The 15,484-nt window shown below is 56.4% G+C and overlaps 13 annotated features.

The window, feature by feature from the left end:
• Positions 460–629: a silencer, noted in NCBI's record as "silent region_9762". NCBI's record gives its function as "represses an Ori minimal core promoter by ATAC-STARR-seq in GM12878 lymphoblastoid cells {active_cell/tissue: GM12878}" and the evidence as "EXISTENCE:reporter gene assay evidence [ECO:0000049][PMID:35858748]".
• Positions 2,801–3,700: an enhancer, noted in NCBI's record as "H3K27ac-H3K4me1 hESC enhancer chr19:2058351-2059250 (GRCh37/hg19 assembly coordinates)". NCBI's record gives its function as "activates a minimal SCP1, AML or CMV promoter by ChIP-STARR-seq in naive H9 embryonic stem cells {active_cell/tissue: H9 hESC(naive)}" and the evidence as "EXISTENCE:reporter gene assay evidence [ECO:0000049][PMID:30033119]".
• Positions 3,701–4,601: an enhancer, noted in NCBI's record as "H3K27ac-H3K4me1 hESC enhancer chr19:2059251-2060151 (GRCh37/hg19 assembly coordinates)". NCBI's record gives its function as "activates a minimal SCP1, AML or CMV promoter by ChIP-STARR-seq in naive H9 embryonic stem cells {active_cell/tissue: H9 hESC(naive)}" and the evidence as "EXISTENCE:reporter gene assay evidence [ECO:0000049][PMID:30033119]".
• Positions 3,701–4,713: a biological region, named in NCBI's record as "CRISPRi-validated cis-regulatory element chr19.488". NCBI's record gives its function as "regulatory_interactions: DAZAP1 | MBD3 | MKNK2 | SLC39A3".
• Positions 3,873–4,713: a transcriptional cis regulatory region, noted in NCBI's record as "candidate enhancer chr19.488 targeted for multiplex CRISPR interference". NCBI's record gives its function as "positively regulates expression of the MKNK2 gene with high confidence and the DAZAP1, MBD3 and SLC39A3 genes with lower confidence in K562 cells {active_cell/tissue: K562}" and the evidence as "EXISTENCE:mutant phenotype evidence [ECO:0000015][PMID:30612741]".
• Positions 5,400–6,399: a transcriptional cis regulatory region, noted in NCBI's record as "candidate enhancer chr19.489 targeted for multiplex CRISPR interference". NCBI's record gives its function as "positively regulates MKNK2 gene expression in K562 cells {active_cell/tissue: K562}" and the evidence as "EXISTENCE:mutant phenotype evidence [ECO:0000015][PMID:30612741]".
• Positions 5,400–6,402: a biological region, named in NCBI's record as "CRISPRi-validated cis-regulatory element chr19.489". NCBI's record gives its function as "regulatory_interactions: MKNK2".
• Positions 5,502–6,402: an enhancer, noted in NCBI's record as "NANOG-H3K27ac-H3K4me1 hESC enhancer chr19:2061052-2061952 (GRCh37/hg19 assembly coordinates)". NCBI's record gives its function as "activates a minimal SCP1, AML or CMV promoter by ChIP-STARR-seq in naive H9 embryonic stem cells {active_cell/tissue: H9 hESC(naive)}" and the evidence as "EXISTENCE:reporter gene assay evidence [ECO:0000049][PMID:30033119]".
• Positions 5,516–5,955: a silencer, noted in NCBI's record as "silent region_9763". NCBI's record gives its function as "represses an Ori minimal core promoter by ATAC-STARR-seq in GM12878 lymphoblastoid cells {active_cell/tissue: GM12878}" and the evidence as "EXISTENCE:reporter gene assay evidence [ECO:0000049][PMID:35858748]".
• Positions 6,056–6,135: a silencer, noted in NCBI's record as "silent region_9764". NCBI's record gives its function as "represses an Ori minimal core promoter by ATAC-STARR-seq in GM12878 lymphoblastoid cells {active_cell/tissue: GM12878}" and the evidence as "EXISTENCE:reporter gene assay evidence [ECO:0000049][PMID:35858748]".
• Positions 6,236–6,295: a silencer, noted in NCBI's record as "silent region_9765". NCBI's record gives its function as "represses an Ori minimal core promoter by ATAC-STARR-seq in GM12878 lymphoblastoid cells {active_cell/tissue: GM12878}" and the evidence as "EXISTENCE:reporter gene assay evidence [ECO:0000049][PMID:35858748]".
• Positions 6,403–7,301: an enhancer, noted in NCBI's record as "H3K27ac-H3K4me1 hESC enhancer chr19:2061953-2062851 (GRCh37/hg19 assembly coordinates)". NCBI's record gives its function as "activates a minimal SCP1, AML or CMV promoter by ChIP-STARR-seq in naive H9 embryonic stem cells {active_cell/tissue: H9 hESC(naive)}" and the evidence as "EXISTENCE:reporter gene assay evidence [ECO:0000049][PMID:30033119]".
• Positions 6,536–6,625: an enhancer, noted in NCBI's record as "active region_13642". NCBI's record gives its function as "activates an Ori minimal core promoter by ATAC-STARR-seq in GM12878 lymphoblastoid cells {active_cell/tissue: GM12878}" and the evidence as "EXISTENCE:reporter gene assay evidence [ECO:0000049][PMID:35858748]".

Here is a 15,484-nt window from a genome sequence, read left to right on the forward strand (position 1 = left end):
GGGACAGGATCTCCCCTGGGGTGAGACCCCCTGGTTTAGGGGATTTCACGGACCCTCCCAAGAAACTCTGCATCCCGTGATGCTCTGACCTGGTGAGGTCCTGGGAGGCTGCACACATTGAAGTCCACACCCTGAGCAGGGAGAGAGAAAGGAGGTGAATCCCAGCAGTGGGGTTCCCCCTGGTTTACGCTGTCTGCCCCATGGGGCGTTTATCCGATGTCTGGTGTGAGCAGGGAGAAAACTCAATATTTTCCAAATAATCGACAAGGGGTTTGTCAGCCTCAACAGTGTGGACGTTTGGGCGGGATTGTTCTGTGTGCTAGGGGCTATGCCAACAGGGATGGGGCCTTGGCACCCTCTCCTCTCCTTTCCTCCCCAACAGAGGCAGAATCCTCTCTAGCCGACCTTCTCCCTAGACCAGCCCTGGACAGGCAGACAGGCCCAGGCTGGGGGCGCGGGATGGCCAGTGGCCTCCGGAGAAGGGGAGGGTCGCCCACCTGCCTGTGTGGGCCGTGCCTGGCCCTGCCCTGCTGTGGGCCGTGCCTGGCCCTGCCCTGCTTTGGGCCGTGCCAGCCCCTGGGGGCGCTACCAGGCTGGCCACCCCTGCCAGCCTCGCCCCCTGCCCCCACCTCCACCCCCAGCTGGAGCCCTGGGAGGGAGACCCCCACCTGCCTTGGTGGGGGAAAAAGCCTGCCTGGTGGGAGGCAGGAAGCCTGGTCCGTGCCCCGGGTGACCGTCTCCTTGATCCTCCTGCAGTGTGGTCTGGGCTGGGGCAGTGAGGGTGGGCACTAGCCGGCCCGGACGTGGGTGGGTGGGACAGGCAGGGCCTGGGGCCAGGACCGCAGGTCCATGACCCCAGTGCTGGTCAGCCAGCCTGGGAGGGAGCTCAGGGTTGCCCTGGGGGAGCACCAGAGTGAAGAGGAGGGCCTGGGAGACGCTAGCCCCAGAAGGAGGACAAACAGGAAATGAGGTGTGGCTGCGGACAGGAATCAGCATCAGCTGGAGCCGATCTCTGGCTCCTCTCCTCCCCTTCCTCCCTCCTTCCCTCGTCCCCTTCTCTCCTTCCTCCTCCCCTCCTTTCCTCCCCTCTCGGTCCTTCTCTCCCTCCTCCCCTCCTCATCCTTCCTCCTCTCCTCCCTTCCACCCCTTCTCTCCTCTCCTCCCCTCCTCTCCTCCCCTCCCCTCCCTCCCCTCTCCTCCTCCCCCCTCCTCCTCCCCCCTTCTTCCTCCCCTCCCTTCCTGCCCTCCTCCCTTCTTCTTCCTCCCCTCCCCTCCTCCCCTTCCCCCTCCTCTCTCCTTCCCTCCCACTGCAGTTCAACCCCTGCCCCACCTCCAGCACCCAGCACCCAGCACCCGGCTGCACCACTACCAAATCCATAGCTGAAAAATGCCCAATGCCCCCAGACACAAGGACAGAGACCCCCACTCCGCCAACGCACTGACATCCCTCCCACTCTCCAGTGGGCTCCCCCTGCTGCGTTCCTGGCATGGCCACCACCCTGTACCGCACTGTCTTGCCTGGCCCTGGGGTGGCTTGGAATGGCTTCCAGATAACCTGGGACCTGGCCAGGGTGGGTGGTGGGGGGCAGCATCTCCAGCAGGTGGCTTCTTTTTTTTTTATTTTTATTTTTTGAGACAGAGTTTTGCTCTTGTCGCCCAGGCTAGAGTGCAATGTCACCATTTCGGCTCACCATAACCTCTGCCTCCCGGGCTCAAGCGATTCTCCTGCCTCAGCCTCCCAAGTAGCTGGGATTACAGGCACACACCATCAACCTGGCTAATTTTTGTATTTTTACTAGAGACGGGGTTTCTCCATGTTGGTCAGGCTGGTCTTGAACTCCCGACCTCAGGTGATCCGCCTGCCTCAGCCTCCCAGAGTGCTGGGATTACAGGCGTGAGCCACTGCGCCTAGCCTAGCAGGTGGCTTCTTTCTCTCTCCTAACCCCCCGGGTCCCCCACCCTGGAGCCCTCACCAGGCCTAACTTGGGGTTTGGCCGTGGCTTCCTCTTCCGGGAGGTCACGGCAGGGCCCAGCCAAGGCCCTGGGGCCAAGGTGAACCCGATCCTGGCTGGGAGGTGCTGCGGCTCCTTTAAGGAGGGGTCAGGACCTGCCCTGGACCCTGTGGGCCCCCCCAACCCAAGCTAGGCCTGGTGGCTTCTCCCAGGGCACCCCAGCCCCTCCTCACCTAGTCACCAGCTAGCCTCATTATCTGGGACAGGTGAGAGTTGACCCCAGCCCAGAACCTGCTTTGGGTGCACTTGGAGCAGGCCAGGCCCAGGGAGGTGCTGATGGAATGGAGCCAGAACTGGCCACACAGGTGGGTGACTGACCTGAGGGTGTGGTGGGTCGGGGGATGTGCTCCAGGACTCACCTGTGGCTGAGCTGTCTCTGCCCAATTTCTGGCTTTGACCCCGACGTACAGCCCCCATGGACACCCAGTGAGCACCCAGTGACCCGCACTGGAGATCCCAGCTGTCTGGGCCATGCTGGCCCCATGCCCCTCTCCTATAGGAGACCCCCAGTAAACCTAGCTTCTTCTCTGGCTGACCCGCCACTGGTCCCACCTCCCTCAACCTCCCAGGGCCCTGGCAGAGTGGCCTGGAGCACACAGAAGGTTCAGGGATGAGCTCGAGTTCCCTGCAGGCCGGCCCTGGGGTGACCCAGACCCCTGCGCCACCTCCCGCCCTCACGGCTACTTCCTAGGGTCCCACAGCCACTGGGTGGCACGGCCTTCCCTCCAGGACAGGGACAGACTCCTGCTTACTTCCTGGGACAACAGACGCCTTGTGACAGTGGAGGCCGCACCACCCACCCCACCATGAGACTCCAGCGGTGGAGGCCCAAAGGCTCAGCCTGCCCCGGGTCCTGCAGCTCCCTGGAGGCGACCTGTCCTGCCCCTGGTCTCGGAGCAGGCTTGGCCGGCCTCTGCCCAAAGGTGCACAGCCCCCGCTTCCTTGGGGGCAACCTGTCTGCCTCCTGCCAGCCTTTGAGCGCTTCCTCAATCTGTAGAGTGATTCTTTTTGCTTTTTTTCTTTAGTTCTGCAGAATGCAGGGCGATTTTCAGCCTGTGTGGCATGTAGGGTGTCCCCAAAGCCCCAGAAGAGGTGCCCAGGCAGGTCCTGACTTGCCAGCCCTGGGCTTCTCCCTCCACCCATCTCCCTCAAGCCAGGGAGGCTGGCCACACAGCCCACCCTGACCACCCCCGACCACCCAGCACAGGGCCCGGCTGGATGTGTGCAACAAGGGATCCTATGGGGGGCTCCATTGTCTGGAGGCTTTTTGTTTGTTTGTTTGTTTGTTTTGAGACGGAGTCTCGCTCTGTTGCCAGGCTGGAGTGCAGTGGCTCGATCTCGGCTCACGGTAACCTCCACCTCCCAGGTTCAGGAGATCCTCATGCTTCAGCCTCCTGACGACCTGGGACTACAGGCGCGCACCACCACGACAAGCTAATTTTTGTATTTTTAGTAGAGACGGGCTTTTGCCCTGTTGGCCAGGCTGGTCTGGAACTCCTGAGCTCAGGTGACCCACCCACCTCCACCTCCCAAAGCGTGAGCCACCGCGCCCAGCAACGCTCAGCTAATTTTATTTTCGGTAGAGATGGGGGGGTCTCAACATGTTGCCTAGGCTGGTCTTGAACTCCTGGCCTCAAATGATTCTCCCGCCTCAGCCTCCCAAAATGCTGGGATCACCACGCCAGGCCCAGTTATTCACTGTTTATTTGCCATTCAAAGTTAGCTTGGTGTCCGTATTATATCAGACAACCCTACGGGGGCGGGGGGCGGTGACAATAAAGACCTTTCCCCTACAACATAAAAAAAAAAAAACTTGGTGTGGGTACGAGTGTGAGCAGATCGGGGCGTGTGTCTGTGTGCCCGCGGAGGCAGGCGTCCCTGGGGGAGGCCCCAAGCCTAGGTCCTTGCAGGGTCAGCCATGGGCCCATGTGGGAGTGAAAGGTGGGGGTGGGCTGTGCACGCCTGTACACACTTGCAAGTGTAGTGGGTGGCACGAGAGACCACCTCACAGTTCCCACCTGCTTGGCTCTCCAGGGACCAGAACCACGGCCCAAGGGCCATCCCTTGCTATGAAGGGCCGTGGGCAGGGTCATTTCAGGACCCCTGCGGGGCTGAGAGCTCTGGCCATGGGGCCACGAGGCAGGAATATCTGATGTAAGTGGCCGCAAGCGTCCCTTCTTGCCGGCTGACTCACACTCACTCCACTCCAGTGGCTCGGCAGGCCTGCCTGGGGACACAGCCAGGGCCCGCGGTCCTCCAGTGGGGGCAGGGAGTGGGCAGGGCAGGTGTGGCCTGGAGCCTGGGGCTGCCTACCTGCCCGGGCTGTGGGTGTCTGGCCAGGAGCCCGGGGCAGCCATGGGGCCATCCACGCTGCTCTGACGGAGTGGCATCAGGAGCAGCGTGCATGCCCCACCTCCCTGGGGTTCAGCCCCTGCACAGTCCCCAAGGAAGTGTGGGGCAGGGCTGGCCCAGGAGATGGCCAAAGGCCACCGCCCTGCCCCAGTGACCGTGAACAAAGCACTCCGCTGATCTCCTGGCGTCCTCTCCTCCTCCTATTACCAGGGGGTGGAGCCCAGAAGACACCCAGATGACTCTCAGAGAACCACTGGGAGCCTGGTGCCCTGTGCCCTGGTCCCAGCTGATCTGTCTCCCAACAAGGCCTTAGTTTTTTTGTTGTTTTTTTGTGTTTTTTTGAGATGGAGTCTCGCTCTTTCGCCCAGTCTGGAGTGCAGTGGCAGGATCTCTGCTCACTGCAACCTCCGCCTCCCAGGTTCAAGCAATTGTCCCGCCTCAACTTCCCAAGTAGCTGGGATTACAGGTGCATGTCACCACCCCCGGCTAATTTTTGTATTTACTATTTAGTAGAGACGGGGTTTCACCATGTTGGCCAGGCTGGTCTTGAACTTCCACCTCAGAAAATCCGCCCACCTCAGCCTCCCAAAGTGCTGGGATTACAGGCGTGAGCCACCGCGCCCGGCCACAAGGCCTTTTCAGGGTGTTTTTCAGGGTGCACATCCTGGGAAGGGCATGGCCAGGGAAACTTCCAAGGCGCAAGGCACTCTGCAGGTGGGACTGGGTTAGGATTTTGAGATGGGAGATCACCCTGGATGATCGGGGAGCCCAGTGTCCTCACAGGGTCCTCATGAGAGGAGGCAGCCGGGTGAGAGTCAGAGACCGGAAGAGGCTGCTCTTGGCTGTGAGTGGGAAGGGGCCCAAGCTGAAGGATGTGGGCGCCTCTAAACGCTGGGAAAGGCAGGAACTGGATTCTCCCCTGGAGCCCCCAGGAGGGACCAGCCCTGCGCACACCTTGATGTTAGCCCAGTGAGGCCCCCATGTCGGGTTTCTGACCTCCAGAACCGTGAGAGAATCGATGTGGGTCGTTTCAAGCCACTGCACGTGTGTGATTCATTGCACAGCTCCAGGAGGCTCACACAGGCGGTGTTTTCCTGAGTTTCCACTGTGCAGATGAGAAGGCTGAAGCCAGGGCAGCCCCGGTCAAGCCCCCCGGACTGTCACAGGTCCTGGGAGGCGCCAGGGGCAGGGAGATGCGGCTGGGGGCGGGCGAGGCCCTGCAGCCTGGGCATGGGGCCGGCCCAGGGACAGGGCCCCCTCCCCGCAGGGCTGGATTTGCTGCGTCGCCAAATGCCGGGGCTGATCGGCTGCTGGGCGTGTGACCCCGCGCCTTTGAAATCCGCAGAGCCACGGGTCGGGCCCTCCCGCCCCGCCCGCCGACCGCACCCGCGCTAGGCCAGTCCCCGGGCGCCGCCTCCTCCTCCTCCCGGCGGCCGGGGCTCTGGGCGCCCCCCACACGGTGTCCCGGGGTGACAGGAGGGTCGGAGAGCACGGACTCGGGGGTCCGGGCCGCGCGCCCTGGGAACCCCCTCCCCGGCGGCGGCCGCGCGCCTGCGCACTGGCTCCAGTGCCGGGGCCCCTTTGCCCCGGGGACGGGGAGAGGTTGCCGGGGCAACGCGTTTGCGTCAGCGAACCTGGCGCGGCGCCCGGGCTCAGAGGGCGAGGGAGGCGGGGCCCGGGCTCTGGACCAGTAGGACTCCAAATATTTAGTGTGGGGGCGTGGCCAGAGATCACGCTCCAGCCAATGGAATTGTTGTTGTCGGGGCCGCGCGATCAGGGCCTTGTGCCTCTTAAAGGGACCGTGCGCATTACTCCACACTTCGCTCGCCGCTGTGTTCTGGGCGGAGGCCTAGGGCTCAGGGTTGGGGGTCAGTGGGCCTGGCTGGGGGCAGAGGTAAGGGAGGGCGCAGACTCGGAGTTGGAGGTCAGCGGGCCGGGCCCAGCCCCACGTCCTCCTGTTTTGCCCGTTTGTGTGACTCTGGGTCCGGTCTCGGTCTCCCGAGCTTCAGTTTCCGCAGGTGCACAGAGCTGGAGTTGCGGAGTTGTGGGCGCGATGCATTCACGGCTACTCCTCCCCTGGCGGGCGCCCCTGCATTTATGCAGCGCCCACGTTTTGCACTAGCACCCTATGCAACGACCGGTCTCTCTGCAGGTCACAGAGGAGCTGGGGGGGGTTGGGGGACCCCAGAAGGTGACCAGGCCTGGATGACCAGGACTGAACCGCAGGCCTTGGCCCTGCACCAACACCTCTTCCTCTGTGGCCAGGAAACATTCCTTCCAAGGACCCCTACTGGAGGGGGTGGGAGGGTTGGTCCCCCAGGTCCTCCAGGTCCCGGGCGCTGTGCAACTGAGTGAAAGCACAGAGGCAGGTGGTCAGAATCTGACCCCCAGCGGCCACAGCCACAACCCCTCACCCCAGGCAGGCCTCACTCTCCACTGTAGCCCTGATCAATGAATCACAAGTGAGGGGCAGGAAACGAGATTGAAGGACCCACGGTGTAGACAGCAGGGGAGGTGACCCCACCAACCCACCCATCTGGCACCCTCTACGTCCCAAGTCTGGAGTGTCCCAGTGGCAGCCCTCAGGGCATGGATAGGCTGGAGGCCCGGCACCCCTGCCGAGGCTAGCCTAGAAGAATGGGGGTGGCCCCTTTGGCCATGGGAAGTGGTACATTCACAGATCGCGGGAATGACATGGGCATCTTTGGGGGCTGTGATTCAGCCGACCACAGAGTGTCTCAGGCTTCCCCCAAGGATCCCATCTTCACCATGTACCGCCCTCCTGCTGGGACCTTGGGGTCTCCTGTCTGCGGCCAGCCCAGGACCCTACGAGTTCCTCATTCCTGCTTCTCTCAGGAGAGACCTTTTAAAGGTCTGCATTTCTCTTTGACTTTTTTTTCCGCAATAGTTTTCTTCATTATAGAAATACACACGCAGCCTCACTCTGTGGCCCAGGCTGGAGTGGAGTGGCACGATCTCAGCTCACTGCAATCTCTCTCCGGGTTCAGGCAGTCTTGTGCTTCAGCTTCCCCAGTAGCTGCACGGAGACACCCAGCTAATTTGTTTTGGAGACGGAGACTCACTCTGTCGCCTGGGCTGGAGCGCAGAGGTGCAATCTCAGCTCACTGCAACCTCTGCCTCCTGGGTTCAAGTGATTCAACTGTCTCAGCCTCCTGAGTAGCTAGGATTACAGGTGTGCACCGCCACACCCAGCTAATTTTTGTATTTATTTGTTTTTATTTTTTATTTTTTTGAGACGGAGTCTCGCTCTTTCGCCCAGGCCGGAGTGCAGTGGCGCGATCTCGGCTCACTGCAAGCTCCGTCTCCCGGGTTCACGCCATTCTCCTCCCTCAGCCTCCCGAGTAGCTGGGATTACAGGCGTGAGTCACCGCGCCTGGCCTATTTATTTTTTGAGACGAAGTTTCACTCTTGTCACCCAGGCTGTAGTGCAATGGTGCGATCTTGGCTCACTGCAACCTCCACCTCCCGGGTTCAAGCAATTCTCTTGCCTCAGCCTCCCGAGTAACTGGGATTACAGGTGCCCGCCACCACGTCCAGCTAATTTTTGAATTTTTAGTAGAGACAGCGTTTCACCATGTGAAAGGCTGGTCTCGAACTCCTGATCTCAGGTGATCTGCTCATCTCGACCTCCCTAATTTTTGTATTTTTAGTAGAGACGGGGTTTCACCATGTTGGCCAGGCTGCTCTTGAACTCCTGATCTCAAGTGATCCACTGGTCTCAGCTTCCCAAAATGCTGAGATTACAGGTGTGAGCCACAGCACCCAGCTTTATTTTATTTTTTTTGAGACAGGGTCTTGCTCTGTTACCCAAGCTTAAGTTCAGTGGCCTGATCTCGGCTCACTGCACCCTCGACTTCCTGGGCTAACGCAATCCTCCCACCTCGGCCTCCTGAGTAGCTGGGATTACAGGAGAGTGCCTCCATCCCCATGTAATTTTTGTATTTTTTAGTAGTGACGGAGTTTAACCTTGTTGGTCAGGCTGGTCTTGAACTCCTGACCTCAGCTGATCTGCCCATCTCAGCCTCCCAAAGTACTGGGATCACAGGCCTGAGCCACTGTGCCGGCCGCTATTGTCGTTTCTGAGTGACATCATCTTGGCGATGGTTTTGATTTGCATTTCCCTGACAGCTTGTGTGTTCCGTCTTTTCTCACCTGGATGTTGACCAACACGTGTGTAAATGTTCAAGACCCACATATTTTAAAAAGTAAAAAGAAACAGATGACATTGGCTGGGCACAACATGGCCAACGTGGCCAAACCCCATCTCTACTAAAAATATAAATATTAGCCGGGTGTGGTGGCACGCGCCTGTAATCCCAACTACTCAGGAGGCTGAGGCAGGAGAATCACCTGAACCCAGGAGGCGGTGGTTGCAGTGAGCCGAGATCGCGCCACTGCACTCCAGCCTGGGTGATGGAGCGAGACTCCGTCTCAAAAATAAAATAAAATAATAAAAATAGAATCTTAAAAATTGCCCGTCCTTCTGAGGCCTCCTGCACAGTCATAGCGCCCTGTGGCCCCGCGGCCAAGCGGGAGGAGCAGGCAGGGGAGGTTGCTTCCAGGACGCCAGGACACTGGCTGCAGGTGGAGAGAAACAGGAGGGGCGGCTGTGGTGAGCCGGGGCTGGCATCCACCTCCTGGCGACGCGACCTACCAGGGACCTTGCCAAGGGGCCTCAGTCAGCCTTCTGTTGATGACACGCTGAGGTCAGGACCAGGGCCACAGCCTGTGTCTGACAAGAAGCAGTTTCCAGTTATTTGGTGAATCAGTGCTGGGGGCCTGGCCTGAGGGGTCCAGGGAGTCACACCTGACTCCATGTCCCTCTTTCCCACAAAGTAGGAGAGCGCCATGGGTCACCTGCCCGAAAAGGCAGGTCCATCCTCTGCCTGCAGTCAGAACTCAGGGGGATCCCTGAGGCCGGCAGCAGAGCCACGAGGACGCAGTGGCCTGGCGGCGGGTGGGGCAGCGCGGGAGCTGCTTTCCAGGCCAGACAGACGGAGCCGTTCTCCTGCCGGCCTTCCCGGGAGCAGGATCCCATCCAGTGATGCGTAGGCCTGTGGCGGGGACAAGGAGGGCGGGCAGCTGCTTTTGTTTCCCATCTGCTTCTCTGGCTTGGAAAGAAGGGCAGACAGCTCCAGAAATATCGAGGAACGTGGGCCACGCCTCCGGGGCGGCCACCAGGCGGTGGCACCAGAAGGTCAGCAGAGACAGAGCATAAACAGCAGCCACACAAGACACCCACGCGGGACACGGGCCGTGTGCGCACATGGGCACCTGATGCCTGGTGGCCGAGAGGACAGCACGGCCTGAACACCCGGCAGGAGGGGACGGATGGTCCATCCACACTGGAACATTATCCCATGACGAACCGGAGCCAGGCCACAGCGTGAACCTGGAGGACATCATGCTCAGTCACAGATGCCAAACTCAGAAGGCCACGCAGTGTGTGATCCCATTTCTATGAACTGTCCGGGACAGGCCCATCCAGAGACAGGGAGGGGATGTGTGGGTGTCGGGGAGTGACGGCTGATGGGGACAAGGTTTGTTCTTCTCGAGGTGATAGAATGCTGTAGAATTGGAGGTGGTAGTTGCACACTTTTCTGAATGTACTACATGCGACTGAATTGTACACCTTAAATGAGTGAATTGTATGGAATGTGAATTACAAATCAATGAAGATGCCCAGGCCGGGTGCGGTGGCTCACGCCTGTAATCCCAGCACTTTGGGAGGCCAAGGTGGGCAGATCACCTGAGGTCAGGAGTTCAAGACCAGCCTGGTCAACATGGCGAAACCCAGTCTCTACTAAAAATACAGAAATTAGCTGGGTGGTGGCTTACGCCTGTAATCCCAGCTACTCAGGAGGGTGAGGCAGGAGAATCGCTTGAACCCAGGAGGCAGAAGTTGCAGTGAGCTGAGATGGCGCCATTGCACTCCAGCCTGGGTGACAGAGAGAGGCTCTGTCTCAAAAAGTAAGTAGGCCGGGCGTGGTGGTTCACGCCTGTAATCCCAGCACCTTGGGAGGCCAAGGGACGCAGAACACAAGGTCAGGAGTTCAAGACCAGCCTGGCCAAGATAGTGAAACCCCGTCTCTACTAAAAATGCAAAAATTAGCTAGGCGTGGTGGTGGGCGCCTGTAGTCCCAGCTACTCGGGAGGCTGAGGTAGAGAAGTGCTTGAACCCGGGAGGCAGAGGTTGCAGTGAGCCAAGATCGTGCCATTGAACTCCAGCCTGCTCCGTCTCAATAAAAAAAATAAAAAATAAATAAGTACATACATAAAATGTTTATTAAATCATTTACCATGATTTTTAAATGTTAATTTGTATTTTATATAATGTATTTCAGCACATGAAGTTTTCTGACTAACGTATCTTTCCTGTACATTTTCCCTCTGGTCACAATGAGTGTACTTTGTCCCATATACTTTTTTTTTTTTTTTGAGACAGAGTCTCGCTCTGTCACCCAGGCTAGAGTGCAGTGGCACTATCTCAGCTCACTGCAAGCTCCGCCTCATGCCGGATTAATTTTTTTTTTTTTTTTGTATTTTTAGTAGAGACGGGGTTTCACTCTGTTAGCCAGGATGGTCTTGATCTCCTGACCTTGTGATCCGCCCGTCTCGGCCTCCCAAAATTCTGGGATTACAGGCGTGAGCCACCGTGCCCAGCCTGTCCCATATACATTTGGATTCACCTTGATCATTAAGACTGCAATTGCTGGCCAGGTGTGGAGGCTCATGTCTGTAATCCCAGCACTTTGGGAGTTGAGGCTGGTAGATCACAAGGTCAGGAGTTCAAAACCAGCCTGGCCAAGATGGTGAAACCCCGTCTCTACTAAAAATACAAAAAAATTAGCTGGATGTGGTGGCGGGTGCTGGTAGTCCCAGCTACTTGGGAGGCTGAGGCAGAAGAATCGCTTGAACACAGGACGCAGAGGTTGCAGTGAGCCAAGATTGTTTCACTGCACTCCAGCCTGGGTGAAAGAGTGAGACTCTGTCTCAAAAAAAAAAAAAAAGAAAAAAAAAAAAGAAAGGCCCGGCGCAGTGGCTCACACCTGTAATCCCAGCACTTTGGGAGGCCGAGGCAGGTGGATCACAAGGCCAGGTGTTCGAGACCAGCCTGACCAACATGGTGAAACCCTGTCTCTACTAAAAATACAAAAATTAGCCGGGGGTGGTGGCAGGTGCCTGTAATCCCAGCTACTCAGGAGGCTGAGGCAGGAGAATTGCTTGAACCTGGGAGGCGGAGGTTGCAGTGAGCCGAGATGACGCCACTGCACTCCAGCCTGGGCGACAGAGCGAGACTCTGTCTCAAAAAAAAAAAAAAAAAAAAAAAAGGATTGCAATTGCTTTTTCCTCCTGGTTTGCTTTATTTGATATAATTATGCTGGCTGGGAACAATGGCTCACATCTACAATCCCAGCACTTTGGGAGGCCAAAGAGGGAGGATCGCTTGAGGCCAGGAGTCCAAGATCAGCCTGAGCAATGTAGGGAGACTTCATCTCTACAAAAAAGAAACACAATCAGCTAGGCATGGAGGCACATGCCTGTAGGCCCAGCTACTCAGGAGGCTGAGGCGGGAGGATTGCTTGAGCCCAGGAAGTTGAGGCTGCAGTGAGCTGTGATTTGTGCCACTGCACTCCAGCCTAGGCGACAGAGCAAGACCCTGTCTGAAGAAAAAATTATATATATACATAAAAACTTTGCCTAAGCTTCTGCTTCTGCCAGTCTATGTCTTTGTTACAGCAATTTTATGGGGACATAGTTCACATCTCATAAAATTCCCCCACTAATGTATACAGTTCAGGGCGGTGCGGTGGCTCATGCCTGTAATCCCAGCATTTCGGGAGGCCAAGGTGGGTGGATCACCTGAGGTCAGGAGTTCAAGACCAGCATGGCTAACATGGTGAAACCCCGTCTCTACTAAAAATAAAAAAATTAGCCAGGTGTGGTGGCTGGTGCCTATAATCCCAGCTACTCAGGAACCTGAGGCAGGAGAATCGCTTGAACCCAGGAGGTGGATTGTTGCAGTGAACTGAGACTGCACCACTGCAGTTCAGCCTGGGTGACAGAGTGAGACTCCGTTTAAAAAAAAAAAATGTGTATAGTTCAGAGGTATTTATAAATTCATGGAGTTATGCAAACATTATCTGAAAAGAAAATGTTTTGTGTTGATTTTTACTGGATATGAGGGGTTCTTCACATTTTAACAGGAGGATCTTTCTGTATATTTTTGTTTGTTTGTTTTTTTGAGATGGAGTTTCACTCTGTCACCCAGGCTGGAGTGCAGTGGCAGTGTAGTCCCGAGTAGCTGGGACTACGGGCGCCCGCCACCACGCCCGGCTAATTTTTTGTATTTTTAGTAGAGACGGGGTTTCACCGTGTTAGCCAGGATGGTCTCGATCTCCTGACCTCGTGATCCGCCCACCTCGGCCTCCCAAAGTGCTGGGATTCCAGGTGTGAGCCACCGCACCAGGCCATCTTTCTGTGTATTTCTATAGGCGTCCGCAAACTTTTTCTTTTTTCACTTGATACTCACCTCAATTAAGAGCAGGGATATTTACATATGATCAGTTTATTTTTTTTCCTAACACTATTTATTGAAAATCTTTCAATGTCAGCTCTCTCTCCCCACCTCCCCCGCTTTCTTTTTTTCTGAGACAGGGTCTTGCTCTGTTGCCCAGGCTGGAGTGCAGTAGTGCTATCTCAACTTACTGCAGCCTCCGCCTCCAGGGCTTAAGTGATCTTCCTGCCTCAGCCTCCTGAGTGGCTGGAATCACAGGTGCACCATCATGCCTGGCTTGGTCACCAAACTTTTACTGTAAGGGGCAGACTGTCAATATTTTTGGCTTTGTCGGGTGCGGTGGCTCACGCCTGTAATCCCAACACTTTGGGAGTCCAAGGTGGGTGGATCACGAGGTCAGGAGTTAGAGACCAGCTTGGCCAACATGGTGAAACCCCATCTCTACTAAAAATACAAAAATTAGCTGGGGGTGGTGGCGGGCGCCTGTAATACCAGCTGCTCGGGAGGCTGAGGCAGGAGAATCGCTTGAGCCCAGGAGGCGGAGGTTGTAGTGAGCTGAGATCACGCCATTGCACTCCAGCCTGGGCAACACAGCAAGACTCCCTTTAAAAAAAAAAATGGCACTGTGGAGCAGATGGTCTCTGTTGGTTAACTCTACAGCCACAGACAATATGTAAATAATATGTAAATGTATGAGCATGGCTGTGCGCCAATAAAACTTTATTTACACAACAGACTGTGTGGCTGGCCTGGCAGGGTGGCTCACGGCTGTAATCCCAGCACTTTGAGAGGCTGAGGCAGGTAGATCACTTGAGGTTAGGAGTTCAAGACTTGAGGTCAGGAGTTCGAGACCAGCCTGGCCAACATGGTGAAACCCTGTCTCTGCTAATATATAAAACATTACCCAGGCATGGTGGCTTGCACCTGTAGTCCCAGCTACTGGGGAGGCTGAGGCAGGAGGCTGGCTTGAACCTGGGAGGTGGAGGTTGCAGTGAGCCACTGCACTGTAGCCTGGGTGACAGAGGGAGACTCCATCTCCAAATAAGTAAAATTTAAAACCACATTGATTTTGGGAGGCCGAGGTAGGCAGATCATGAGGTTAGGAGTTCAATATCAGCCTGGACAACATGGTGAAATCCCGTCTCTACTAAAAATACAAAAATTATCCAGTCATGCTGGTGCACACCTGTAATCCCAGCTACTTGGGAGGCTGAGGCGGGAGAATCGTTTGAACCCGGGAGGGAGAGGCTGCAGTGATCTGAGGTCGCATCATTGCACTCCAGCCTGGGCAACAAGGGTGAAACTCCGTCTCAGAACAAACAAACAAACAAACAACTAGGAAACAGCAGCCTCTCTGGAAGGCGGTTCCCGATCCCCGCTCTTTGCCTAACAGGAGCCTGTCCCTTCCCAGCGCCGTGGTGCCCTCTAGGGGCGAGGTGCAGCAGCACAGCGCTGACGGGCACAGGGCTAAGGGTCCACCCTGTGGGGCCCGGGCTGCCCCTCTCTGCCATGCTGCTGAGGTGCAAAATACCAAATTCGTGAGCCAAAGCTGGTCTTCCGTTAGGCTCCGGACTCACGACGTTTCACGCTGGAAGGGACCCCGGAGACTCACTCACCCAATGCCCACATTTTTCACATACAGAAAACAAAAAGCAGCTGGGCACAGTGGTTCATGCCTGCAATCCCACACTTGGGAGGCCGAGGCAGGGGGATCGCCTGAGGCCAGGAGTTCGAGACCAGCCTGGCCAACATGGTGAAACCCTGTCACTACCAAAAATACAAAAATTAGGGCCGGGTGTGGTGGCTCACGCTTGTAATCCCAGCACTTTGGTAGGCTGAGGCAGGAGAATCACTTGAGCCTGGGAGGCCAAGGTTGCAGTGAGCCAAGATTGCACCACTGCCCTCCTGCCTGGGCAAGAGTAAGACTCCATCTTAAAAAAAAAAAAAAATTAGCTGGGCGTGGTGGCGGGCACCTGTAGTCCCAATTCCTTGGGAGGCTGAGGTTGCAGTGAGCCGAGATCAGGCCACTGCACTACAGCCTGGGTGACGGCGAGACTGTCTCAAAAAAAAAAAAAAAAAAAGAAAGGAAGAAAGAGAATGAAATAAACAAGTCAATAAAAAGTTGTAGTGTACGCTAATTTGTCCATGTCCAAGGCCACAGCGGGCTAGGGAGTCACGGGCTGGCCTGGACTCCACCCCTTCGGTCTTTTCCCTCTGATCTGTTCCTTGGCACAGGGTAAAAACTTTTGTGCTTCATTTTCTTTTCTTTTCTTTTTTTTTTTTTTTGAGACAGCGTCTTGCTCTGTCACACAGGCTGGAGTGCAGTGGTGCCATCTCGGCTCACTGCAACCTCTGCCGCCAGGGTTCAGGCAATTCTCCTGCCTCAGCCTCCCAAGTAGCTGGGATTTAAAAAAAAAAAAAAAAGAAAGAAAGAAAGAAAGAAAGAAAGAAAAGCTGAGTAGCTGTCTAAAAAAAAAAAAAAAGAAAGAAAAATAAAAAAGATTTTCTCAGCCCCAAAGCCTGAGGCTCACCCCTAGGACAGGGCACCCTGTTAACACTGGCAGGAAAACGACACCATTTA

The sequence above is a fragment of the Homo sapiens genome, chromosome 19 (genome assembly GCF_000001405.40).
Source record: "Homo sapiens chromosome 19, GRCh38.p14 Primary Assembly".
Classification (NCBI taxonomy): Eukaryota; Metazoa; Chordata; class Mammalia; order Primates; family Hominidae; genus Homo; species Homo sapiens.